We start from the raw sequence: 27,688 nt of genomic DNA on the forward strand, positions 1-27,688 counted from the left end.
CTTTTCTAGTTCTTTTAATTGTGATGTTAGGGTGTCAATTTTGGATCTTTCCTGCTTTCTCTTGTGGGCATTTAGTGCTATAAATTTCCCTCTACACACTGCTTTGAATGCGTCCCAGACATTCTGGTATGTTGTGTCTTTGTTCTCGTTGGTTTCAAAGAACATCTTTATTTCTGCCTTCATTTCGTTATGTACCCAGTAGTCATTCAGGAGCAGGTTGTTCAGTTTCCATGTAGTTGAGCGGTTTTGAGTGAGATTCTTAATCCTGAGTTCTAGTTTGATTGCACTGTGGTCTGAGAGATAGTTTGTTATAATTTCTGTTCTTTTACATTTGCTGAGGAGAGCTTTACTTCCAAGTATGTGGTCAATTTTGGAATAGGTGTGGTGTGGTGCTGAAAGAAATGTATATGCTGTTGATTTGAGGTGGAGAGTTCTGTAGATGTCTATTAGGTCTGCTTGGTGCAGAGCTGAGTTCAATTCCTGGGTACCCTTGTTGACTTTCTGTCTCATTGATCTGTCTAATGTTGACAGTGGGGTGTTAAAGTCTCCCATTATTAATGTGTGGGAGTCTAAGTCTCTTTGTAGGTCACTCAGGACTTTCTTTATGAATCTGGGTGCTCCTGTATTGGGTGCATATATGTTTAGGATAGTTAGCTCTTCTTGTTGAATTGATCCCTTTACCATTATGTAATGGCCTTCTTTGTCTCTTTTGATCTTTGTTGGTTTAAAGTCTGTTTTATCAGAGACTAGGATTGCAACCCCTGCCTTTTTTTGTTTTCCATTTGCTTGGTAGATCTTCCTCCATCCTTTTATTTTGAGCCTATGTGTGTCTCTGCATGTGAGATGGGCTTCCTGAATACAGCACACTGATGGGTCTTGACTCTTTATCCAATTTGCCAGTCTGTATCTTTTAATTGGAGCATTTAGTCCATTTACATTTAAAGTTAATATTCTTATGTGTGAATTTGATCCTGTCATGATGATGTTAGCTGGTTGTTTTGCTCGTTAGTTGATGCAGTTTCTTCCTAGTCTTGATGGTCTTTACATTTTGGCATGATTTTGCAGTGGCTGGTACCAATTGTTCCTTTCCATGTTTAGCGCTTCCTTCAGGAGCTCTTTTAGGGCAGGCCTGGTGGTGACAAAATCTCTCAGCATTTGCTTGTCTGTAAAGTATTTTATTTCTCCTTCACTTATGAAGCTTAGTTTGGCTGGATATGAAATTCTGGGTTGAAAATTCTTTAAGAATGTTGAATATTGGCCCCCACTCTCTTCTGTCTTGTAGGGTTTCTGCCGAGAGATCCGCTGTTAGTCTGATGGGCTTCCCTTTGAGGGTAACCCGACCTTTCTCTCTGGCTGCCCTTAACATTTTTTCCTTCATTTCAACTTTGGTGAATCTGACAATTATGTGTCTTGGAGTTGCTCTTCTCGAGGAGTATCTTTGTGGCGTTCTTTGTATTTCCTGAATCTGAACGTTGGCCTGCCTTGCTAGATTGGGGAAGTTCTCCTGGATAATATCCTGCACAGTGTTTTCCAACTTGGTTCCATTCTCCCCGTCACCTTCAGGTACACCAGTCAGACGTAGATTTGGTCTTTTCACATAGTCCCATATTTCTTGGAGGCTTTGCTCATTTCTTTTTATTCTTTTTTCTCTAATCTTCCCTTCTTGCTTCATTTCATTCATTTCATCTTCCATTGCTGATACCCTTTCTTCCAGTTGATTGCATTGGCTCCTGAGGCTTCTGCATTCTTCACGTAGTTCTTGAGTCTTGGTTTTCAGCTCCATCAGCTCCTTTCAGCACTTCTCTGTATTGGTTATTCTAGTTATACATTCTTCTAAATTTTTTTCAAAGTTTTCAACTTCTTTGCCTTTGGTTTGAATGTCCTCCCGTAGCTCAGAGTAATTTGATCGTCTGAAGCCTTCTTCTCTCAGCTCGTCAAGGTCGTTCTCCGTCCAGCTTTGTTCCGTTGCTGGTGAGGAACTGCATTCCTTTGGAGGAGGAGAGGCGCTCTGCTTTTTAGAGTTTCCAGTTTTTCTGTTCTGTTTTTTCCCCATCTTTGTGGTTTTATCTACTTTTGGTCTTTGATGATGGTGATGTACAGATGGGTTTTTGGTGTGGATGTCCTTTCTGTTTGTTAGTTTTCCTTCTAACAGACAGGACCCTCAGCTGCAGGTCTGTTGGAGTACCCTGCCATGTGAGGTGTCAGTGTGCCCCTGCTGGGGGGTGCCTCCCAGTTAGGCTGCTCGGGGGTCAGGGGTCAGGGACCCACTTGAGGAGGCAGTCTGCCCGTTCTCAGATCTCCAGCTGCGTACTGGAAGAACCACTGCTCTCTTCAAAGCTGTCAGACAGGGACATTTAAGTCTGCAGAGGTTACTGCTGTCTTTTTGTTTGTCTGTGCCCTGCCCCCAGAGGTGGAGCCTACAGAGGCAGGCAGGCCTCCTTGAGCTGTGGTGGGCTCCACCCAGTTCGAGCTTCCCGGCTGCTTTGTTTACCTAAGCAAGCCTGGGCAATGGCGGGCGCCCCTCCCCCAGCCTCGCTGCCACCTTGCAGTTTGATCTCAGACTGCTGTGCTAGCAATCAGCCAGACTCCGTGGGCGTAGGACCCTCCGACCCAGGTGCGTTATATAATCTCGTGGTGCCCCCTTTTTTAAGCCTGTCGGAAAAGCGCAGTATTCGGGTGGGAGTGACTCGATTTTCCAGGTGCCGTCCGTCACCCCTTTCTTTGACTAGGAAAGGGAACTCCCTGACCCCTTGTGCTTCCCCAGTGAGGCAATGCCTCACCCTGCTTCGGCTCGCGCATGGTGCGCGCACCCACTGACCTGCGTCCACTGTCTGGCACTCCCTAGTGAGATGAACCCGGTACCTCAGATGGAAATGCAGAAATCACCCGTCTTCTGCGTCGCTCACGCTGGGAACTGTAGACCAGAGCTGTTCCTATTCGGCCATCTTGGCTCCTCCTGGTCCTGGTTGTTTTCTTATTGTGCAGAAGCTTTTTAGCTTGCTGTAGTCCCGCTTGTCTACTTTTGCCTTTGTTGCCTGTGCTTTTGGTGTCATATCTAAAAAATCATTGCCAAGGCCAATGTCGAAAATCTCATTTCTTACATTTTCTTTTAGGAGTTGTATAGTTGCAGGTCTTACATTTATATCTTTTATCCATTTTGAGTTTTTTTTGTGTGTACATGTATGTGTGTGATATAAAGATCCAATTTCATTCTTTCAAATATGGATATTTAGTATTCCCAACACCGTGAATTGAAGAGACTATCATTTTTCCATTTTGTATTCTTGTCTGTATTATGGAAAATTAGTTGACTGTAGATGTGTGAGTTAATTTCTGGAATCTCCATTCTGTCCCACTGACCTATATGCCTGTTTTTGTTACAGTTCCATACTGTTTTGATTAATATAGTTTTGTAGTATAATTTGAAATCAAGCAGTGTGATACCTCTTGAGAATACCTTTCTAAAGATTGCTTTGGTTATTCAAGGTCTTTTGGGGTTCCATATGAATTTTAAGATTTTTTTCCTATTTCTATGAAAAATATCATTTAAGTTTTGGTAGAGATTTTATTGAATCTGTAGACTGCTCTAGGCAGTATGGACATTTTAATAATATTGTTTTGTGTAATCCATGAACATACAATGTCTTTTCATTTCTTTGTCTTCAATTTTTTTTCATAAATGCTTCATAGTTCTTTTATGTAGAGATTTTTCACCTTGGTTAAATCTAAGTTTTTTTCTTTCTGATGCTATTATTAGTGGAAATGCTTTCTTGATTTCTTTTTCAGATAGTTCATTGTTGGTGTAGAGAAACACTTAATTTTTGCATTAATTTTTGTGGAGTCTATAAAGTTTCCTACGTACAAGGTCATGTCATCTACAAAAAGAGACATTTTACTTCTGTCTTATTTGGATGACATGTATTTCTTTTTCTGTCTAATTTATCTGGCTAAGACTTCCAGTATTAGGTTGAATAGTAGCTTTGGTTTCCTTTCTCTTTTTCTTTTTATTTTTTGAGACAGAGTCTTGCTCTATCACCCAGGCTGGAGTGCAGTGGTGCGATCTTGGCTCACTGCAACCTCCGCCTCCCAGGTTCAAGCAATTCTCCTGCCTCAGCCTCCCAAGTAGCTGGGACTATAGGCATGCGCCACCATGCCTGGCTAATTTTTGTATTTTTAGTAGAGATGCAGTTTCACCATGTTGGCCGGGCTAGTCTCAAACTCCTGACCTCGGGTGATCCACCCACCTCAGCCTCCTAAAGTGCTGGGATTACAGATGTGAGCCACTGCACCCAGCCTCCTTTCTCTTTTTCTTCTATGTAACTTCTATAAGTATTTTCTTTGTGGTTATTATGGGACTTACATAAAATTTATTATAGTGAGCTGATAGCATTTTCTCTTGCATACGAAAACTCTACATTTTTATCTCATTTCCCCCCACATTATGTGCAATTGGTGTTGCAGTTCATATCTGTTTAGAATGTGTGTCCATTTACATAATTTAGTTATAGTCATTTTTAATTCATTTGTCTTTTTACTTTTATATTTGAACCAAAAGCTGTTTACCCACCACCTTTATAACAATGTAGTCTTCTGTTTTTGTCTATATATTTACCTTTAACAACAGATTTTATACTTTCTTATGTTTTTGTGTTGCTGTTTAGAATCCTTTCATTTCAAGTTGAAGAACTTTCTTTAGCATTTTTTTGTATGTCAGAACTAGTGATGGTAACCTCTCTTAGCTTTTGTTTGTCTGAGAAAGGCTTTATTGCCCCCTTCATTTCTGAAGGACAGGTTTGCCTGGTATTGTATTCTTGATTGGCAGGTTTTTTTTTTCTTCTTTCAGCACTTTGAATATATCACACACTCCCTTCTGGCCTGCATGATTTCTATTGAAAAATCGGCTTATAGTCTTATGAGGGTTCTCAGGTAGATAGCAAGTAGCCATTTTCTTGTTTTCAAAATCCTCTCTTTGCTTTTAACTTTTGACAATTTATTTATAATATGTCCTTGGTTTGGGCATCTTTGGGATTATCTTATATGGTGTTCTTGGTGTTCTTTGGGCTTCCTGAATCTGGATGTCTTATTTCCTTCCCCAGGTTTGGGAATTTTTCAGCCATTATTTCTCTGAATGAGTTTTCTGGTTCTCCTTCTGTGAGTTTCATAATGCATATATTGCCACTTGATGTTACCCTGTAATTCTCTTAATATATCTTCACTGTTTTTTATTCTTTTTTTTTCCTTTTTGCTCCTCTGACTAGAGGATTTCCAGTGAGCTGTCTTTGACTTTACTTCTCCTTTCTTCTGCTTAATCAAATCTGCTGTTGAAACCTCATATTGAATTTTTCAGTTCAGTTATTGTATTCTTCAGGTCTATTATTTCTATTTGGTATTTTTAAATATTTTCTATCCCTTTGTCAAGATTCTCACATTGTTCATGCATTTCTCTCCTAACTATTGTGAACATCTTCATGATCAACATTTTGAATTCTCTGTTGGGTAAATCACATGTCTCCATTTCATTAAGGTAGGTTTCTGAAGATTTATCTTGTTCTTTTATTTGGAACATATTTTCATTTTCTTTGATTCTTTGTGTTAGTTTCTGCACATTTTATAGAACAACCACCTCTCTTAGTCTTCACAGACTGATGTCTATAAGAGTCAATCTTCATCCATTAGGCTAGCTAGAGATTCTGGATGCTACCTATTCCTTCGTGCTTCCAAACTGCCATCTGTTTCCTTAGTGGGCCCAGGGTACTAGAGTATGCTAAACCCTAAGAGAGTCCTAAGATTGGCAAGATTGGAGCCAGTCTCTTGAGTAGCAGTTGGAATAAATGATGCATTAGGTACGTGTTCTAATGCATCAATTTATTCCAGCTCTCCTTATGCATCTCCAGCTGTCCTTAATGCATATTAATGTCCTTAGGAAGAAGCTGGGAACTGGAGTTTATCACCCACTTGCTCTGCACTGAGCCAGGAAGAGGAACTGTGGCAAATGCCTGTAATGCTCACTCAGACGCAGGCTGTTTTAAATCATTGCTTTACTCTTTGTCACCTCTAGGGGGTCTAGTAAATGCTAGGCCCTCAGTTCTTGGAACAGACAAGCTAGAGGCCAGTCCCTCTGGTAGCGACTAGAAAATTTAAAGGTCTAGATGGGTAGTTTAAGCTCTTCTAAGGAGAAGCTATAGGCTTGGTTTTATTTCTGGAATGATTTGTGGGGAGGAGCCCTGGGAAGTATCCTCACATTCATTTAAACTCCCAGTGACTAGTGACTGCCTGCCCTGTTAGCTCCAAGAAACAGGCAAGTCAGAAGCCAGATCCATGGGTAGCAGCTGGAAAAGTCAAGGTACTAGATGTATAGTGTAACCCCTCCCAGGGAGAATCTGAGAGCTGTGCATTTTGGTAAAATAAGCTGGCAGGAGGAGTCATGGGACGAGCCTGCAAGGCCATTCAAAACCACTGCTTTGTTCTCTGGAGACTCCAAGTGACCAGCGAATATTGGGCCCTATCAGCTCCCCAGTTAGGTGAGTTAGTAACTACACTCCCAAGCAGCAGATGAAAAAAATCAGAGCATTTGTTGTGTAGTCCAACTCCTTCCAGGAAGAAGCTAAAGGTTTAGTTTCTTTGCCAGAGTGAGCTGGAGGAAGGAGCTGTAGGAAGTGCCTACATACCCATTTAAACTCCCTGGGGACTAGTAATTGCCTGCCCTGTTGACTTCCAGATACAGGCTTGTTATAAGCCAGACCCTTGGGCAGCAGCTGAAAAAGTCAGGGCTTTTGATGTGCAATCTAACCCCTTCTAGGGAAAAGCTAGGAGCTGAGCTTTGTCACCTGCTCACTGTGTGCTAAGCCAGTGGGGAGAAGCATGGGAAATGCTTGAGTGCCTGTTTAAAGCTGCCTCTGTTCTCTGCCATTCCAGGGGTCTAATAAGTGCTGGGCCCCATTGGCTTCCAGAGATAGGCAAGTTAGGAATCATTTCCTCTGGTAGTGGTTTTAAAAGTTGGGGTATTGTGTGTACGGTTCAAACCCTTTACTCCTCAGGGAGAAACTGAGAGATGGAGGTTCCCCTCAATTGTATAGTGCTGGGCTGAGGGTAGGGTTTATGGTGAGAGTGAGAATATGTCTCAGCTTTTCTTACTGTTGCACCCGAGCGAGTTAGGGAAACGCCACATTTGAGACAAATTAAGAGTCCTTTATTAGCCGTGGACGGAGAGACAGCTAATGCCCAAAGTTCTCTCGGCCCCTAGGAAGGGGCTTGATTAATTTTTATACCTTGGTTTAGGAAGGGGAGGGGTCTAGTTAGAACAATTTTACATAAGTTAAGTAGTCAAAAAGTTAAAAGGATAAATGGTTACAGGAAAGTAAACAGTTCCAGGTGCGGGGGCTTTAAGACTATTACAAGGTGATAGACGTGGGGCTTTGGGCATTATCAATCAGACGAATTCTTGGGGACTGCAGATATAGCTTGCCACAGTATCTTATCAGTTAATTGCATTCTTGGATGTGCTGGGAGTCAGCTTGCACAAGTTAAGTCCTTGAGGAAGGGGCTGCCAGTGAAAGAGCCAGGATGGAGTTTGTCTGGTTCTCTTAGCTAAGGGAGAAACAAGGCTAGGTGAATGAAGGAAAAAACAAGGTTGGGCATTACATTACCTGTGCTGAAGTGGGAATTTTCTCAGCCATCCGACATACAGAAATCTCTCCACTAGTTTCTGTATTTTTCTCAGAGGATGTCGATTCATGTATAGCTGTTTATTTGATGCTCTATGGGTGGAGTGAGAGTTCTCAGCCTCCTATTCTGTTTTTTTGCTGAAGTACTCCTGCATGTTTGGTAATTTTTTATTTATATTAGACATTGTGAATTTTTTTTTTTAGGTTTCAGATACTTGAATTTCTATAATTTTCTTGTGATTTGTTCTGAGATATAGTAAATTAACTTTGACCAAGTTTTATCTTTTAAGGTCTTGCTTTTAAGATTTTTTAGTTGGGACAGGAGCAGTGCTCAGCTTAGGGCTAATTCCTGCTACTGAAGCAAGTCCCTTACATGTATTCTACACATTGCCCCATAAATCTTAAGGTTTTCCAGTTTGACTGGCGTGAACAGAAACTATTCTTATTCTTGTGTAAATGCCCAGAACTGTTATCTGTAATTGTTTCCAGATCATTCTTTCCTTGGCCTCAGGTAGTTTCTTCACATAAATGTACTGATCAATGCTGAGCTGAATTCTCAAAGGCAAACTTCTGAGTTTTCTTTTGTGCAGATTTCTTCTCTCTGCCGTATTTTCCTGTGAATTCTAACTGCCTGGTCTCCCTGGACTCTCAACTCTGTCTCTACAACTTAGAGAGTCTGCTGGATTTCACCTGAGTTTCCTCCCTACACCATGGCCTGGAAACTCTCTCAATGCTGTAACTTGGGGCAGTTGTAGGGCTCCTCTTACTTGTGTCCCTCCCTCATGTATCACTGTTCCTCATTGCCTGACCTCTAGTGGCCTGTAAGTTGTTTTATTCAGCATTACATATTTTAAATTTCAGGTTTCTGGGTAAATTTGGTCTCTATTACTCCATTTTGGCCGGAAACACAAATGTGTCACTTGATTCTGGTTTGTATGTTAACTATGTGATTAGCAAAGCAAATGGCAGCAGAGAGAAAAAAGGGAGATGATATGGCTTTCAGAAAAAAAAATGACTTCAAGAAAATTGTAAATAAAATGAGAAAATAAGTGCAACTCAACTTGTCTTTTTACCAGGCAAATACATACGGAAGTACCAAAAATGCTTTGCTTTCTTTCTTAGGCCATTATAATAGATTAGGTGAATTGAAGATACTGAAAGGGAAAGATGAAATAACAGGATAAAAAGAGTAAGTTAAAGGATCACAGGAGAGAAAGAACTAATATAGCTTGGAAGTGAATAAATATGTCATTGAAATTTGGAACTGCAATGGGAAAATTTGAGGGAGGGATTATGTTTAAAATGTTTTTTGGTGTGTCTTATGAAGAGAACATAAATGCAAATATTCCCATGAGATTACCAGTCTTCCAGAAGATGGGCTGAGAACAACATAAGAAGAGCAGGGCTGGGAGAGAAGAAAAGATTCTCAACTTTATATAGATAACAATGAGCAATGAGGGTATTTTGTGGCCCTTCACTCCAAATTATTAAACCTAGTACCTTATAGAATATTTATTGGCTTCAGAAGCCTCGTGATTATATTTCCTTTACGTATTAGTATATCAAACTCTTGATAGAGTTTTTAAAAATATTAGGAAGCAAAGAGAATGAAGGAAAACCATGAAGCTGTGAGCAAGGATTTGGCTGTTCCTTCACAGAAGAAAGAACTTAGATTTTATTTTCAATGTTTGAGAGACACTGTTAATGTACTTGCCTAGTGGATTCTTCCTGCCTGCTGCACAGACAAAACCAGTTCACTGAGACCAAGGCATTGCAGTAAAGAATTTAATTGATGAAGGCCTGCTATGCCACATGGGAGACAGAGTTACTACTCACATAGTCCCCTGCAAAATTCGGAGACTAGGGTGTTTTAAGGATAGTTTAGTGGGTCGGGCGGCGGGGGGTTAGAGGAATGGGTTCTTTTGATTGGTTGGGGGTGCAATCGTAGGGGTGTGGAAAATGGTCCTCAACCACTGAGTCTGTTTTCTGGGTGGGGGCCCCAGGACGGACTGGTGGAACCAAGAGTCCAGGGTCTGGGTGGTGCCATCAGATTGTCAGAAATGCAGAAGCCTAAAAAGACATTTTAAAAGGCCAATCTTAGATTGTACAGTAGTGAATTGGGGAAGCTGCAAATCTTGTGACCTCCAGAATAATGGCTGGTAATCGTTTAACTATCCCTACATCTTAGCAGAATTCAGGCCCCTCTCATTTTCCTAACCTGATGACCTTTCATTAGTTTATAACAGTAGTATAATTTTGGGAAATGGCTATTTTCATTTAAACTATAAGCTAAATTTATTCCAAAGTAGTTTGGCCCAAGCCCAGGAATGACCAAGTACAGTTTGAAGGTTAAAGGCAAGATGAGAGTTGGTCAGATCAGATCTCTTTCACTGTCATAATTTTCTCACTGTTATAATTTTTGCAAAGGTGGTTTCACTAGTAGGTGGTGACCTCTTCTTTCTCTAAACTGTCTTCTTTGCATTCTTGGCTGAAAGAGAGAATGTGTATTACTCTAGAGTCTACCAGGCACCATTCCAAACTGCTATGGTGAAATAAAGAGATCACTCTGTCAAGAATAGAAGTAAAACCAACTATATAAAGAAATGAGAGAAGCATATAATCCTCAGGATGGTGGTAGGTATTACAGAAAATCTAACTAGGAAAGTTCTAGAGGTCTTTTTACATTTTAAAGTTATTGCCATTTGCCTAACAGAACAGATGTAACCCCATTAGCCTTTAATGAAGAAAGACCTTCATTTGGCTTATTCTCCAAGCTTTGTCAAATATTCGTATGCATTAAGTTTAGATATCTGATTTGAATTAATTTTCAAGGTTTGTCATGTAACAATGCCTGGTATGTTCTTGAGAATAATGCCAGTTGAATTCTTTGAGCAAGTTGACAACCTCTGCCTCTTCAGTAACACTCAATCACACTTTCCACAGAAATTGAAATATGAAACAGCATCTTGTAATATGTATGTGTATCAAAATGTAGTAGCAAAATGTATTTCAGAATCTATAAATATAGATTTATATTCTGACCCATGAAGAACTGTTATAAATTGGTTTTAACAGAACCAATCAAAATTTTGTCACAAGAGAGGAAGGAAGCATTTTGCTCACCATTTGTAATAATCATTTATTTGTCCCCAAACATTTCTTGAGAAGCTTCTATCACCAAGTGTTTGTTCTCTACCCTCAAGAATCTTGAGTAAGCAATTATAGGGCATTTTCCATTCCATAGTAGCAACTGGATTTTCAAAGAACAATATTTCTTTTTCATTCAATTTCAGAAAGATGTAGGCCAATTGTTAAGGAGGTGTGCTTATACTTTGGTACCCAGTGACTTGAAGAATTCTATAATTTTATAGTTTTATGTTGGTACAAATTCTATGGAAGCTTTTTCATAAGTATCAAGGTAGTAAAAGGTCATTCCTATATAATTTTTAATATAATCATTGTCATTTATATATATTATTGGAGAAAACACACTTCTGTACCTTCCATCCTTACTATTCTGAACTTTTAATGTCCTTTGTAAAGTGAGCCCTTAATAGCAGAACCTCTTCCAGTGTTGCCAAGTTCTATTATAATCATGACTATTTTGATTCTTCTCTCATCCTAGAAATTTACTTGTGTTATGAAATTCAAAGCTAACCCTTTGGTTGTGCCTATTGATTGAGCCAGACTTGACATTTGCTTCTGTTCAGGAAAAATGCTTTTGCTGCCAAACTAATATCTCTGCACAGTAAGAAGCAAATACCATGGAAATGAAATAAATACTTCCTAAAATGACTTTTTAAATGTGAACATAGAAGAATGGAAGCTCATCCTTCTTGAAGTAGTCAGAAAAAGTCAACCATCAAGCTGTTTCCCAGTACTTGGAGAAAAATACCCATTCTGAACATAAATGATAAATCTCTCTCTCTGTGTGTGTGTGTGTGTGTGTGTGTGTGTGTGTGTGTGTGACGAAGGGGGCCACAAGGCCAGGTTCATGTCCTCAGTGTGGTGCCCCATGCTCACCATTCCTCCATGTGGTATCCCATACCCAACTCTCTAAGAATCAGTCCTTCAGATGTTACACCTTGACACCTCAGTACATTAGAATTCAGTAGTTGAAAAACAAATTAACTCTGTCATTGTAAAATGTCTGTCATATTACATGAGTTCCTGTGCCATTAGCTTTCTACATTCTCTTTTTCTATAGATCCAACATTTTCTCTATGACTCCATTGGGTGGCTCCCAGGTCCTCATTTTGAATTTTGTCTTCTCTGACCTTTGGTCCTGCATTTCTTATGATCAGAAAAGCCCTTATCACAAACTCATCCACCAAGTATGCATTTTGTTAACCCCAAAGAAAAGGTATTTCTCTAGATTTCTTTATGTCTTCCAGTTACACCAGTCACTTTTCTTCCTACATGGTGTGAACCTTTGAAATAATCTCTAATTTGTTTCCTTTTCTTCACCCTCCATATCAAGTAAACTAAGATCTGTCCTAAATTCTTTTCCAAAGTCTCCAATTTGCAGCATTCTTTCCATTCCAGTGCTGTTGCCACTTAGTGCTTTCTCGTCACCCTGGACCAAATCTCCACACTTCGTTAGACCATCAATCACAGATCTTTTCTCTGGCTGCTCCCTTTGAATTGTTTATCCTAGATTCGGTTTTGTTCCTAAACCTACCCAACCATCCGCCTTTGCTTGTAGGTTGTTTCTCAATTCCATTTTCTCCACCCTCAGCTTCTAAGGTCCAGTGACTTTCCACACCTAACATTGGCCCCTCATTTGTCAGAGAAGGGTTTAGACTATATTTTTTTACATAGTTTCTATACAAACATGTTTTAAATGTTGTCTTGCAGCTGTCAATTTCTTACCCAGCAACTTTTAATAACTCCTCACTGTCTACAGCATAAAGTCCAAATTCTTTAACCTGATACTTAAAACCCTCTACTAATCTGGCCTCAATATACCTCTCTAAATTTATCTTCTCTTGCTCTCAAATCAAAACTTATATTCTGAAAACCTTGTCTCTCAGACATAAAATGTGAATTTAGTCTCCAGATCTTTGTATATGCCAGGAGATCTCGCTAGGATATTGTCCCCATTCCTTTCCACTTAACTGATTCCTGCCTATCCTTGAAATTCACACCAGAGCTTCTATTCTCTATGAAATTCTATTTCACTTATCCACAATAATCCACCCATTATACTCTCCTGCCTTACTTATTATGTGACTCACCCATGTTGGCTCTTATTATATGCTACCTTTTCTTCTTTTTTTGACTTTATTTTTTAATTTACAAATAAAATTGTATGTATTTACCATCTACAGCATGATGTATTGAATTATATATGCATTGTGGAGTAACTAAATATAGCTAATTAGCATATGCATTACCTCACATAGTTATCATAGTTATGGTGAGAACACTTAACATCCACCGTCTTACCATTTTTCAGTAACACAATACAAATGGTCCCTGATTTACACTGGTGTTTGACTTACAGTTGTTTTTTTTTTTTTTTTTAACTTTACAATGGGTTTATTGGAATGAAACCCAATTGTAAGTTCAGAAACATCTGTATACTGTTATTACCTATAGTCATCATGTTATACAATAGATCTCTTGAACTTACTTTTCCTGTATAGCTGAAATTTTGTATCCTTTGACCAACATCTCCCATCTTTCCTTCCTCAACTGCCCCAGCCCCTGATAACCTTACCTTCCTACTGTCTACTTTATGACATGAACTTTTTAAGATTCCACATGAGTGAACTCATACAGTACTTGTTGTTCTGTACCTCGCTTATTTCACTTAACAAAATGCTCTCCTGGTTCATCTATATCGTTGCAAATGACAGGATTGTCTTTATTATGGCTGAATAGTATTCCATTGTGTAAGCCACATTTTCCTTACCTATTCATCTTTTGATAAACACATAGGTTGATTTCATATCTTGGCTATTGTGAATGATACTGCAGTGAACATGGGGGTACAAATACCTCTCTGACATGCTTATTTTATTTTCATTGGATATTTATCTAGTAGTGGGATTGCTGGATCATACAGAAGTTCTATTTTTAATTTTTGAGTAACATTTATACTGTTTGCCATAATGGCTATACTAATGTACATTACCACCAACTGTGTGCAAGGATTCCCTTTTCTCCACAATCTTGCCAATATTTGCTGTCTTTTGTCCTTCTGATCATAGCCATTCTAACATGTATAAGGTGATAGCTCATTGTAGTTTTTAATTTGCATTTCCCTGATGATTAATGATGTTGAGCATTTTTTCAGATACTCATTGACCATCTGTATGTCTTCTTTAAAGAGATGTCTACTCAGATCCTTTGCCCATTTCAAAATCTGGTTATTGTTTTCTTGCTATTAAATTGAGTTCCTTATATATTTTGGATATTATCCCTTAATCAGATGTAAGTTTGCAAATATTTTCTCCCATTTTGTACATTGTCTCTTTATTCTGTTGATTGTTTCTTTTTCTGTTGAGAAGCTTTTTAGTTTGATGTAACTCCATTTGTCTGTTTTTGCTTTTGCAGCATGTGCTTTTGAGGTCATTTCCCAAAAATCCTTGTCCAGAACAATGTCACGGAGCTTTCTTGTTAGGTTTTCTTATAGTAGTTTCATATTTTACAATTAAGTCTTTAATCAATTTTGAGGGAGTTTTTTGGATATGGTGTAAGATAAAGGTCTAATTTTATTCTTCTGCATGTGGATATCCAGTTTTCCAACACCATTTGTTGCAAAGACTGTTCTTTCCCTATAGTGTGTTCTTGCCACCTGCATAAAAAAAATTGGTTGGCTGTAAATGTGTAGATTTATTTGTGGGCTCTCAGTTCTGTTCCATTGGTCTGTATGTATGTTTTTATGCCAGTACCATGCTGTTCTGATTACTTAAGGTTTGTAGTATATTTTGAAGTCAGGTAGTGTGATGCCTTCAGCTTTGTTCTTTTTGCTCAATGTTGCTTTAACTGTTTGGGGTCTTTTGTGGTTTCATATGAATTTTAGGATCGTTTTTCCTAGTTCTGTAAAAAATTTCGCTGGTATTTTGATAGAGATTACATAGAATTTGTAGGTCACTTTGAGTAATATGGGCATTTTGACAATATTAATTCTTCCAATCCATAAGCATGGAATATCTATCAATTTATTTGTGTCTTCTTCAATTTCTCTCATCAGTATTTTATAGTTTTCAGTATAGAGATCTTTTATCTTTGTTAGATTTATTCCTAAGTGCTGTGTTATTTTGGTCTCTATTGTAAATTGTTTTCTTGATTTTTTACTCAGTTCACTGTTAGTGTGTAGAAATGCTACTAATTTTTGTATATTGACTTTTCATCCTACAAGTTAACGGCATTTGTTTATTATTTCTGAAGGTTTTTTAGTGAAGTCTTTAGGGTTTTCTATATAAAAGATTATGTTGTCTGCAAATGGGAGCAATTTAACTTATTCTTTTCAGATTTGGATCCCTTTTGTTTCTTTCTCTTGCCTAATTGTTTTGCTAGGACTTCCAGGACTATGCTGAATAGAAGTAGCAAAACTGCATATCTTTGCCTTGTACCAGATCTTTAAGGAAAAGCTTCCAACTTTTCCCTATTGAGTATGATGTTTGCTGTGGGTTTGTCATATATGGCCTTTTTATGTGGAGGTGCATTCCTTCTATACCTAATTTATTGAGGGTTTTTATCATGAAAGGGTATTGAATTTTGCCAACTGCTCTTTTTGCATCTATTGAAATGATCATAAAAGTTTTTGTACATTTATAGTAGTCCTCTCTTCTATGTGGAGGATATGTTTCAAGACTGTCAGTGAATGCCTGAAACCATGGATAGTACTGAGCCCAATTACCAGTCAGACCATGTTTCTGTTCATGTTTGCCTGCCACACACACAAATGTAATGCCTTTTCCATCTTAACTAAGCATGTGTCATGCATTGTGGCCATAACTTTTGCAGTTTAAGATCTGTCAGCAAAACTAGCAAGGGTTTCCTTTTCCTTCTTCACAATTTCACAGATAAACGATTCATTCTTACCATAGAACTTAGCAGCCCCACCATGTGATTTTTCTTCTTTCCTTATTGAGAATGTGTACCTTTTCACATAAATGAAACGTTTTACAGTTTCTCTTTGACATAAGCAAATTGCCAGCATCACTACTCTTGTGCTTTGGGGCCATTATTAAGTAAAATAAGGGTTACTTGAACAGAAGCACTGTAATACCACAACTTTTTTTTTTCCTTGAGACAGGGTCTCACTCTGTCACCCAGGCTGGAGTACAGTGTTTGTGAATGCAGCCCACTGCAACCTCAACCTCCTGCGATCCTCCTGCCTCAGCCTGCCGTGCAGCTGGGACCACAGCGTACCCTACACACCTGGCTAATTTTTTGATTTTTTGAACAGAAGAGGTCTCACTTTGTTGCCCAGGCTGGTCTCAAACCCCTGGCCTCAAGCAATCCTCCAGCCTTGGCCTCCCAAAGTGTTGGGATTGCAGACATGAGCCACCATGCCTGGCCAATATCACAACATTTGATCTGATAACTGAGATGAATACTAACTGACTCATTTGTGGGTAGCATATACAGCATGGATATGCTGGACAAAGGGATGATTGATGTCCCAGGCAGGGTGAAGTGGGACAGCGCAAGATTTTATCATGCTATTCAGAACAGGGTGCAATTTAAAACTTATGAATTGTTTATTTCTGGAATTTTGTGTTTAATATTTTTAGATCACAGTTGACTGTGGGTAACTGAAACTATGGAAAGCAAAACCTTGGATAAAGAGGGGCTACTGTATTGATTTGCGTTCATGGGACTATCTTTGCATCTCTGGGATGAATCCCACTTAATCATAGTGAATGGTCTTTATAGTGTGCTATTGAATTTGATTTGCTAGTATTTTGTTGAGGATTTTTGCATCTGTGTTCATCAGAGATATATGACTATAGTCTTCTTTTTTTTAGACCAGAGTTTCGCTCTTGTTGCCCAGGCTGGTGTGCAATGTCATGATCTCGGCTCACTGCAACCTCTGCCTCCTGGGTTCAAGTGATTCTCCTGCCTCAGCCTCCCAACTAGCTGGGTTTAGAGGCATGTGCCACCACGCCTGGCTAATTTTGTATTTTTAGTGGAGACGGGGTTTCTCCATGTTGGTCTTGCTGGTCTTGAACTCCTGACCTTAGGTGATCCGCCCTCCTTGGCCTCACAAAGTGCTGGGATTACAGGTGTGAGCCACCATGCCCAGCCAGTTTTCTTTTTTCAATAACATTCTTATCTGGCTTTGGTATCAGGGTAATGCTGGCTTCATAAAATGAGCCTGGAAGTGTCCCTCTCTTCAGTTTTTTGCAACAGAGAAAAAATTGCTATTAGTTCTTCTTTAAATGTTTGTTACAATTCAGCAGTGAAAGTAAAAAGCCCTGGGCTTTTCTTTGATTGGAGACTTCTTTATTACTGATTCAATCTCCTTACTCATTATTGGCCTCTTCTGATTTTCTGTTTCTTCGTAATTAATTTTTTGATAGATTGTAGATGTCAAGGAATTTATCCATTTCTTTTGGGTTATTCTATTTGTTGTCATATAATTGTTCATAATAGTCTTTTATGATTCTTTGTATTTATGTTTTACCAGTTATAATATCTTCTTTTATATTTTTGATTTTATTTAAGTCTTCTCTTTTTTCCTTAGTTAGCCCAGCTAAAAGTTTGTCAATTTTATCTTTTCAAAAACATTAATTCTTCATCAATCTTTTGTACTGTTTTTCTAGTCTTTATTTTTCTTCTCTAATTTATTTATTATTATTATTATTTTGAGATGGAGTCTCACTTTGTCGCCCAGGCTGGAGGTAATGGCACAATCTTGGCTCACTGCAACCTCTGCCTCCTGGGTTCAAGCGATTCTCCTGCCTCAGCCTCCCGGGTAGCGAGGATTACAGGTGCCCGCCACCACACCCAGCTGATTTTTGTGTTATTAGTAGAGATGGGGTTTCACCATTTTGGCCAGGTGGTCTTGAACTCCTGACCTCAGGTGATCTGCCTGCCTTGGCCTCCTGAAGTGCTGGGATTACAGGCGTGAGCCACCGCACCCGGTGTCTTCTCTAATTTTTATTTCCTTCTATTAACTTTGAGCTTCATTTGTTCTTGTTTCTCTAGTTCCTTAAGGTGAAACATTAGATTATTTAATTTCTTCTTTTTTGATGTAGATATTTATTGCTATAAACTTTTATTCCATGTTTTTGTGCGTTGTGTTTCCATTTTTGTTTGTCTCAAGAAATTTTTACATTTCTCTTTTAATTCCTCTTTGACCCTTTGGTTGCTCAGAAGGGTATTGTTTAATTTTCATTTATTTGTGAATTTTCTGAAATTCCTTCTGTTATTGACTTCTAGTTTTATACCATTGTGGACAGAAAAGATACTTGATAAGATTTTAGTTTTTTTAGATGCTATGGTTTAAATGTTTGTCTCCTAAACTCATGTTGAAATTTAATTGCCATTGTGACAGTATTAAGAAGTGAGATCTTTAAGAGGTCATTAGGTCATGAGAGCCTTTCCTTCATGAACAGATAAATGTCATTATCATGGGAATGGGTTTGTTATTATAAGAGTGGATTCCTTATAAAAGGACAAGTTCAGCTCCCCTTTGTCTCTCTTACCCTCTTCTTGCCCGTCTACCAGGGGATGACATGGCAAGAAAGCTCTTGCCATATTTGGTCCCTTGATCCTCAATCTTAGACATCCCAGCCTCCAGAACTGTGAGCCAATAAATTGCTGTTCATTATAAATTAGCCAGTTTGTGGTATTCTGTTATAATAGCACAAAATAAAGTAAGACATTAGATTTATTAGGACTTTTTTTGTGGCCTAACAATGATCTTTTCTAGAAAATGTTCCATGTGCAGTTGAGAAGAATGTATATCCTACAACTGATGGATGGAATGTTCTGTTTATGTCTGCTAGGTCTATTTGGTCTATTGTGTAATTTAAACCTTATGTGTCTTTATTGATTTTCTGTCTGCCAATAGTGGGATGTTGATGTCCCCTACGATTATTTTATTGCAGCCTATCTCTCTCTTCAGATCTATTAATATTTGCTTTCTATATGTAGATATTCCCATGTCAGGTCCATATACATTTATAAATGTTATGGATATAACAACTGTGGAATTGATCCCTTTATCCTCATATGATGACCTTCTTTGTCTCTTTTTACGTTTTGACTTAAAGTCTATTTTAACATGTCTAACATGTATAGCTACTCCTCCCTCTTTTGGTTTATATTTGCATGGAATATATATTTTTTCATCTCTTCACTTTCAGTCTGTGTGTGTCCTTACAAGTGAAGTGAGTCTCTTGTAGGCAGCGTATTTTTTATCCATTCAGCCACTTATGTCTTTTGATTGGAGAATTTAATCCATTTATATTCAAGATAATAATTGATAGATACAAATATTCTACTAACATTTTGTTAATTATTTTTTACTTGTTTTGTAGACCCTCTGTTCTTTTCTTCCTGTCTTGCTGTGTTCCTTTGTAGTTAAGTGATTTTCTCTGGTGGTATGTTTTTATTTCATGCTTTTTATTTTTTGTGTATCTACTATAGGTTTTTGCTTTGTGGTTACCATGAGGCTTACAGCAAACATAGGTATAGATAGTTTATATTATATTAAGGTGATAACAACTGAATTTTGATTGCAAGAAGAAAACTCTGTACTTTTACTACACTCTCCTCCCACATTTTGACTCTGTGTCACAATATGTATTTTCTTATATTGCATATCCCTTAACAAATTATTGTTTCTCTTGTTATTTTTAATAGTTTTTCTTTTAACCTTCATGTTAAAAATGTTAGTGATTTACACACCACCATTGCAGTATTAGATTATTCTGAATTTGACTGTGCACTTAACTCACTTTTAACAGTGAGTTTCTTAGTTTCAGATGTTTTTGTGTTACTCGTGTTAAAATAAAGATTTAACACAAATTAAATTTAATACAGTTTAATTGAGCAACGAACAGTTCACAAATCAGGTAGGCCCCTCAACCAGAATAGATTCAGAGCAACTTTATGCTGCTGCATGATTGGAGAGGATTTACAGACACAAAAAAAATAGTGACGTACAGAAAATGGAAGTGAGGTACAGAAACAGATGAATTGGCTATAGCTCAGCATGCCACAATTGAGCACAATATAAACAGTTGGCTACCTTTTATTGGCCAAAGCTTGGTGATAGGTATGAGAGTAGGTTACAGTCTATTTACACATCCCGATAGGTTGCTGTTCACTATGTATGAAGGAACCATTAGGCAGAACTTAAAATATATAAGGAGACAGCTTTAGGCTAAACTTAATTTTATTTTCATTAGCATCCTTTTCTGTCAGCTTGAAGAACTCCCTTCAGTTTTTCTTGTAAAACACGTCTGATGGTGATGAACTCCTTCAGTTTTTGTTTGGGAAAATCTTTATTTATACTTCATTTCTGAAGGACAGTTTTGCTGGATACAGTGTTCTTACTTTGCAGATTTTTTTTCCCTTTCATACTTTGAATATATCAACCCACTCTCTCCTGATCTGTACAATTTCTGCTGAGAAATTTGCTGCTAGTCATATTCGAAATCCATTATGTGTTATTTGCTTCCCTTTCTATCTTCAGAATCCTCTCTTTGTCTTTGGTTTTTGACAGTTTGATTACAAGATTACTTTGGGTAGCTTTGTTTGGATTGAATCTGACTGGAGACCATTGATCATCCTGTACCTGGATATTTACATTTTTCTCCAAATTTGGAAAGCTTTCTGCTGTTAAAGTCATGTGTTGCTTAATGATGGAGATATGTTCTGAGAAATGCATTGTTTGGTGATTTTGCCATTGGGAAAACATCATAGAATGTACTTACACAAGCGTTGATGGAATATATCCCCTATGATGCTCCTAGGCGGTAAGGTATAGCCTATTGCTCTTAGGCTACAAACCTGTATGACATGTTACTATATTGAATACTATAGGCAGTTGTAGAACAATGGTAAATATCTGTGTATCTTAACCGTATCTAAACATGGAAAAGGTACAGTAAAAATATGGTATAAAAGATAAAAAATGGTATACCTGTATAGGAACTTACCATGAATGGAGCTTATAGGACTGGAAGTTGCTCTGGGTTAGTTAGTGAGTGAGTGGTAAGTGAATGTGAAGGTCTAGGACATTACTGTACACCATAGACTTTATAAATACTACACTTAGGCTGTACTAAATTTATAATTTTTTCCTTTCTTCAATAGTAAATTAACCTCAGTTTACTGTGACTTTTTTACTTTATAAGCTTTGTAATCTTTTTAGCTTGTTGACTCTTTTGTGATAACATTTAGCTTAAAACACAAATACATTCTACAGCAGTACAAAAATACTGTTTTTTTTAATATTCTGTAAGATTTTTCTATTTAACTTTTTTTTTCCTTTTTAAACTTTTTTGTTAAGAACTGTGACATAAACATGCACATTAGCGTAAGCATACACAGTGTGAGGGTCATTAATATCACTGTCTTTCACCTCCACATGTTGTCCCCCTGGACGGTCTTCAGGGGCAATAATACACATGAAGCTGTAATATTCTATGATAATAATGCCTTCTTCTGGAATACCTCCTGAAGGACCTGGCTGAGGCTCTTCATTAGAAATGTCACACTTTTCAGAAATATGTCGATGGCCGTTTCTTTTTTTCATCATACATTCGCTTGTAAGCAGATAATGTACTACAGACATTCCTTTCTATTAATGAAAACATTTTGGTGTTAAGGTTCATTTTCAAAATTTTTATGGTTGCTGTTGAGGTCTGAAAAATATTTTTGTAAACTTTTCACTTTTCATTTTCTTCTTCAGCTGTGTGTTCCTGTTTCAGGTTTAACAACTCTTCATTAGTCAGTTCCTCAGGAATCACCTCTAGGGATTCCTCAATGCCATCCTAATTCCAACCCAGGTTAAATTTGGTTTGCTGGCCGGGTGTGGTGGCTCACGCCTGTAATCCCAGCACTTTGGGAGGCTGAGGCAGGTGGATCACGAGGTCAGAAGTTCAAGACCAGTCTGGCCAAGATGGTGAAACCCCATCTCTACTAAAAATACAAAAATTAGCAGGGCGTGGTGGCAGGCGCCTGTAATCTCAGCTACTTGGGAGGCTGAGGCAGGAGAATCGCTTGAATCCGGGGGGCAGAGGTTGCAATGAGCCAAGATCACATCACTGTACTCCAGCCTGGGCGACAGAGTGAGAATCCGTCTCAGAAAAAAAAAAGAAAAAAAGAAAAAGTTGGTTTGCCATCTCAACCATAGCCTTGTTGACATTTGTAGCTTCTTCATCCTTACCAAATCCTTTGATGTCATGGAGAAGACGCTTGAGTGTTTTCCCGAAGTCATTCATACACTCCTTGGTGACATAACTCTAAGCCCAAGCAAGGTTCTTGACGCAGTCATAGATGTTGTAATCCTTCCAGAATTGCACCTGTGTCTTCTCAGTGCCTCCTTTAGTTGCAGCAATAGCTTGGATAAAGGTCTTCATTAGGTAGTAGGCCTCAAAAGCTGCTATAATTTTTTGATTCATTGGTTGGATCAAAGAGGTGGTATTTTGAGGGAGAAACACCTCTTTTATTTGGGATGAAGATCACCAATAAAAGGAGTATGTGCAGAAACATTATTAATGATAAAATCTTGACAGATATGTTATTCTCTAAACAGGAATTTTTCATTTTGTTGGCATTGCAATTCAGGAGGGCACTTTGGAAGAGGAGCTGGGTCATGCATGACTTCTTATTGTTCCTGTAGTACACTGGCAATGTGTGCTTATTGATATTGAAGACTCTAGGGTTCTCACTGTGCAGAACATAATGGGTTTCAATTTGTAGCCTGCAATATTGCCCCCAAGCAAGACTCTTATCCTGTCCTTGAATGCCTTGAAATGTGATGTTAACTTAGCCTTTTTATGGATGTAAGTCCTTTCAGGCATTGTTTCCACCATAGGGAGGTTTCATCCGTATTGAAGATTCACTCTGACAAGTAATTTTCCTCCACAATCAGCTTATCTAGAGTTTCTAAAAATTCTTCAACTGTCTTCACATCAGCACCTGCAGACTCACCCATCACTTTCACATTATGTAGTGAATAAAGATTCTTAAATCATTTAAACTACCTAGACTAGCAGTAAATTCAGCATCATAGTCACATCTAGCCTTTTCTTTCAACGTCACAAACTCTTTGCTTTGTCTGTGATCATTGTGGTCCTGAGAGGGATACAATTCTATGCCTGGTTTTCAATCCAGGTCATTAGAAGATTTTTTCATATCTGATATAGGCCCTTCTTGAGTATTTGTTAGTCTAGTTGCCTTCAATGAAGTAGATCCTTTAACAGATTCCATCACTTTGTTCTTGTTCTTCAAGAGAGATAATAGCTGTGGCTGAAAGGGACAGGCCTGACTAGTGAGCAATAGTCATAACTGATTTTCCACCTTTGTAGTCCTTAATTACTTTTAACTTTATTTCCAGGTCAATCACTTGATATGGCCTCTTACTGGTAACATTAGCAGTGGATTTTGTATGCTTAGGGGCCGTGATGAACAAAATAACTTGAGATTAAGTCAAGCACAAGAGAAAATGATGCATCAATGAGACATAGTAATCATGAGATGTATGTGGCTGCTGCTGGCATAACACTGCATCCTGTTGTACAGTAAACTTTTTTTAATAAGTAGAAAGAGTACACTCTAAAATAACAATCAAAAGTATGGTAAATACATAAACCAATATCATAGTCATTTATTATCATTATCAAATATATAATGTACATAATTATATGTACTATATTTTTATATGACTGGCAGTGCAGTGGGTTTGTAAACACCAATAGCACCACAAACATGTGTAATGTACTGCAGTATGATGTTACAACAACTGTGATGTCACTAACTTATAGGAATTTTTCAACTCTAATAATCTTATGGGGCCACCATCATACATATGATGCATTGTTGACCAAAACATCATTATGTGGTTCATGATAGTATGTCTTTAAATAAGCTTTCTACCCTTTTATCTTTTTTACTCCTTCTTAAACTCCTGAGACTCAAAATTTACCCTTTAATTCTATTCTGTGAATCCCATAAGCTTTCTTTATTCCTTTTCATTCTTTTTTCCCTTACATTGTTTTTATATTTATTATTTTAATAATATATTTATTATATTATATATTATATTAATATATAATATATAATTAATATATAAATGTATAAGATATTAATGTATTTATTATATATTATATTAATATATTTATTATATTTCCCCTTATATTTTCAAATTACCTGTCTTCAAGTTCATAAGTTCTTCTGCTTGATCAATTCTGCTGTTGATGTTCTCTGTTCCATTTTTCATTTTGTTTTTGTGTCTTTCAGTTCCAGTATTTTTGTTTGTTTTTTTAAAATCATTTCAGCCTCCCTGTTAAATGTCTTATTCTGGCCACTTATTGTTTTCCTTATTTCATTGAATTGTTTCTCTGTATTTTCTTGAAGTTTGCTAAGCATCCTCAAAACAATTATTTTGAATTCTTTGTCAGGCAGTTCATATATCTCCTTTTCTGTAGGGTCAGTCACTGGCACATTATTTTGACCCTTTGGGAATGTCATGTTTGCCTGATTATTTTTGATTCTCAAGGTCATGCATCAGTGTCTGTGCATTTGAAGGATATACATGCTTATTCCAGTCTCCACAGACTAGCTTTGTCTGATAAGTCCCTTCCACATTCATCTTACCCAGAGATTCTGGGCAGCCATCTGGCATGGCTCCAAAGCCCCAGTCCACTGTGGCTGATGTGGTGTTGGGGTATGCATGAAGCCTGAGGCGGCTTCAGCAGGCTGAAAGCCTTTGGCAGCTGAAGCCTGCCTGCCACTGAGAGCTGTCTGGAATCTCCTGCCACTGAGAGCTGTCTGGAATCTGAGGCTGCTGAAGTCTGCATGATAGTGGTGTGAATCAGAGACTGAGTCCACCTAGCAGGCATAAAGCTGGAGGCTACAGGATCCTGCCTGGTGCTGGGGCAGGTCTGTAGGCTCAGTTTGCAAGTACCAGGCTGGCATCTAGGGTCATGAGGGCCTGCCTGGTGCTGGATTTTACTTTAATGAGCCTGGTGTTAGGATCCAAGGAAAAGTCCTGTGCTTGCTTCCCGCTCCTTCTCCCCAGTTAATGGTAACTCTCTTTGTACTGTGCCACCTGGCATTGGTGATGTGGGTAATATAAAACTGTCCCTTTTGCCCTCTTCAATGTGTATTTTCTTATTATTGTGCTACAACCAGGTTCTATGATTGCTCCATTGTTTTCCTTAGCTCTTATGAAGGTATTTTCATGCACGGTTATTCAAATTAATGTTTCTCTGGGAGGACAATTGCTGGAGAGTCATATTCTGCCATTTTGCTCCACCCCTCTCTTACCTTTTATTCCTATTTACTTTTTGATTGATGTATTCTATCTCCTCATTCTCTCTCTATCATAATGATCTGGCATAGTGCTTTGCCCATCATTTGCAGTTGCTTATATGATGTTGACCAAAGTAGTTCCTTTGCCATTCATCCAGGAAACTGTATCCCACCCACGTAAAAATAGTGTAGAAGGAAGAAAATAGCACCATTATCGCTCTCATTCTGAGGGGCTCATCTTTCAGAAACTCACCCGAAGAAATTTTAGAGTACTAGGAAAATCTATGGCAGCATCTTTAATGTATCTGACGATGAAATATCGTGATGTGAATAGCAGGAATAAAACTTAATAAATATTATTTTATCCTTGGCCTAAGAATATGAAGATACTCTTTTATTCCTTGGGGTCTTGACCTACTTTGTCATCTGGCCAAATAATTCTTTGTCTCTGAGAATACCTTTCTTAGTCCATTTGTGCTGTTATAACTAAATATCACAGGCTGGGTAATTTATAAATAATATAGATTTATTTCTCACAGTTCTGAAGATTAGGAAGTCCAAGAACAAGGTACTGGCATTTGGTGTCTTGTGAGGGCCTTATTGCTGCACCCTCACATGGCAAAAGGGGCAAATGCTGTATCCTCACATGGCAGAAGGCAGACAGGCAAAAAATTCCTAAGCTAGTTTCTTGTAGCCCTTTCATTAGGCATTAATTAATTCATGAGGGAATAGCCTTCATGATGTAATTACTTTCTAAAAGACCCCCCATCTTTTAATACTACAATTGGGGTTTTCAATATAAATTTGAAACTATGGGGTTTTCAATATAAATTTTGGAGGAGACACATTCACACCATAGCAACATCTGTTCCTGGTTTTATCTGCTTGCCTTTCAGGAATCATTCCTGCTCTAGAAACTGCCTAGTATTGAAATGACCCCTTTTGGTTTCCTGGCTTCTGAGTGCCACACTCTGGCTTCTGATTCAAGCTCCTGCCTCTGCCACCTTATCTACCTCTACTCCTCTCTTGCCACCAGATCTAACCGATGTACCATCAGCATTATAATATCCAGTTGTTAAACACTGTGATTGCTATTCAGAGACCATTGCTCAGTGTTATTTGTGATTCACAGTTTATGGAATCTCAAGAATTTCTTCAATTCCTGAAGTGTATTTTAATTCTGGCTCTTCTGTCTCTTGGTACACGTTCTTGCATTCTCATACTAAAACAAAATATTCAACTAATCTCAGAGTAGATATATCTTGCAGCTTTACCTTCCAATATTTGTAATATGCACAAAAGGTATAATATTCTCTGATATGCGCCTTTATTTAGGATTAGCTGGTGACATCTATGGAATTCTCATGGCAGCCATCTTACCTAGAACTTCGGCTGTCTGAAGCCAGTTCTCCAGTGCTGTCATATTCCTTTATAAGTCAAAGAAGTAGTACAGCTCTCTTTTTGCAATTTTTTTTTTTTACTTTTCTTAAATATGAAGCGCAGAAACAGCAAGTTGGCTATATATAATTCATTGTTGTCAGAAATCAGAGTATCCGAATGTGAATTGTATAGTATCTAACTGATTCAGGTGGACTTTAGTGACGCTCTTGCTAGTGGTGGAAGTCATGCGAAGGTGTTCTGAGAGCTTTCATAACCCCTGGGAAACTTGCAGGTGATGGGGTCTCTCCCCTTGAATCCATCCTTCATCTGTGAGATTTAGCACCTGCTTGGAGCAAGTGGCATCAATGAAAATCAATATTCATGACAGAAGCCTTTCTCTTTTTCCCTGTTCAATATTATCTCTGAACATTAAGAAAATTAAGCATAGGAAAACTGGATATCCACTGGCAAAAGAGTGAAGTTGGACCCCTACCTCACATTATATACAAAAATTAACTCAAAATAGAACACAGACATAAATGTGAGAGCTAAAACTATAAAATTCTTAGGAGAAAACATAGGTTTAAGTCTTTGTGTCCTTGGGTTAGGCAATGATTTTTTTAGATATGTTACCAAAAGCACAAGCAACCAAAGAAAAAATAGATATATTGGATTTTATTAAAATTGAAAATATTTGCACTTCAAAATAAACCATAAAGAAAGTAAAAAGGCAGCCCACAGAATGGATGAAAATATTTGCAAGTCATGTATTTGATAAAGTTCTAATATCCACAGTTATAAACATTTCTTACAACTCAACCATTAAAAAAAAAACAAATAACCCAATTTTAAAATGGACAAAAATTCAAATAGGCATGTTCTCCAAAGAAGATATACAAATGGTCAGTAAGCACAAAAAAAGATACTCAACATCATTAGCCGTCAGAGAAACACGAATCAAAACCAAAGTGAGATATCACTTCATATTCACTGGGATGCTATAATCAAATAAACAGATAATAAAAGTTGAGGAGGTTGTAAAGCAATTAGAACGCTAATACACTGCTAGTGGGAATGTAAAATGGTACAGACACTTTGGAAAATAATTTGACAGGTCCTCAAAAAGTTAAATATATAATCACCTGCCATGTGACCCAGCAGCTCCACTCCTAGATATGTATTCAAGATAATTG

At 37.9% G+C, this 27,688-nt stretch overlaps 1 protein-coding gene across 5 annotated transcripts in view, besides 1 other annotated feature; it reads left to right on the forward strand.

Annotated features, from left to right (window-relative positions):
• Positions 1–27,688, forward strand: part of DYNC1I1 (dynein cytoplasmic 1 intermediate chain 1) — a 337,769-nt gene that overhangs the window by 62,482 nt on the left and 247,599 nt on the right. The gene's annotated exons all lie outside the window — the stretch shown is intronic.
• Positions 2,031–2,647: an enhancer, noted in NCBI's record as "H3K27ac-H3K4me1 hESC enhancer chr7:95466378-95466994 (GRCh37/hg19 assembly coordinates)". NCBI's record gives its function as "activates a minimal SCP1, AML or CMV promoter by ChIP-STARR-seq in naive H9 embryonic stem cells {active_cell/tissue: H9 hESC(naive)}" and the evidence as "EXISTENCE:reporter gene assay evidence [ECO:0000049][PMID:30033119]".

The sequence above is a fragment of the Homo sapiens genome, chromosome 7 (assembly GCF_000001405.40).
Source record: "Homo sapiens chromosome 7, GRCh38.p14 Primary Assembly".
NCBI classification, from domain to species: domain Eukaryota; kingdom Metazoa; phylum Chordata; class Mammalia; order Primates; family Hominidae; genus Homo; species Homo sapiens.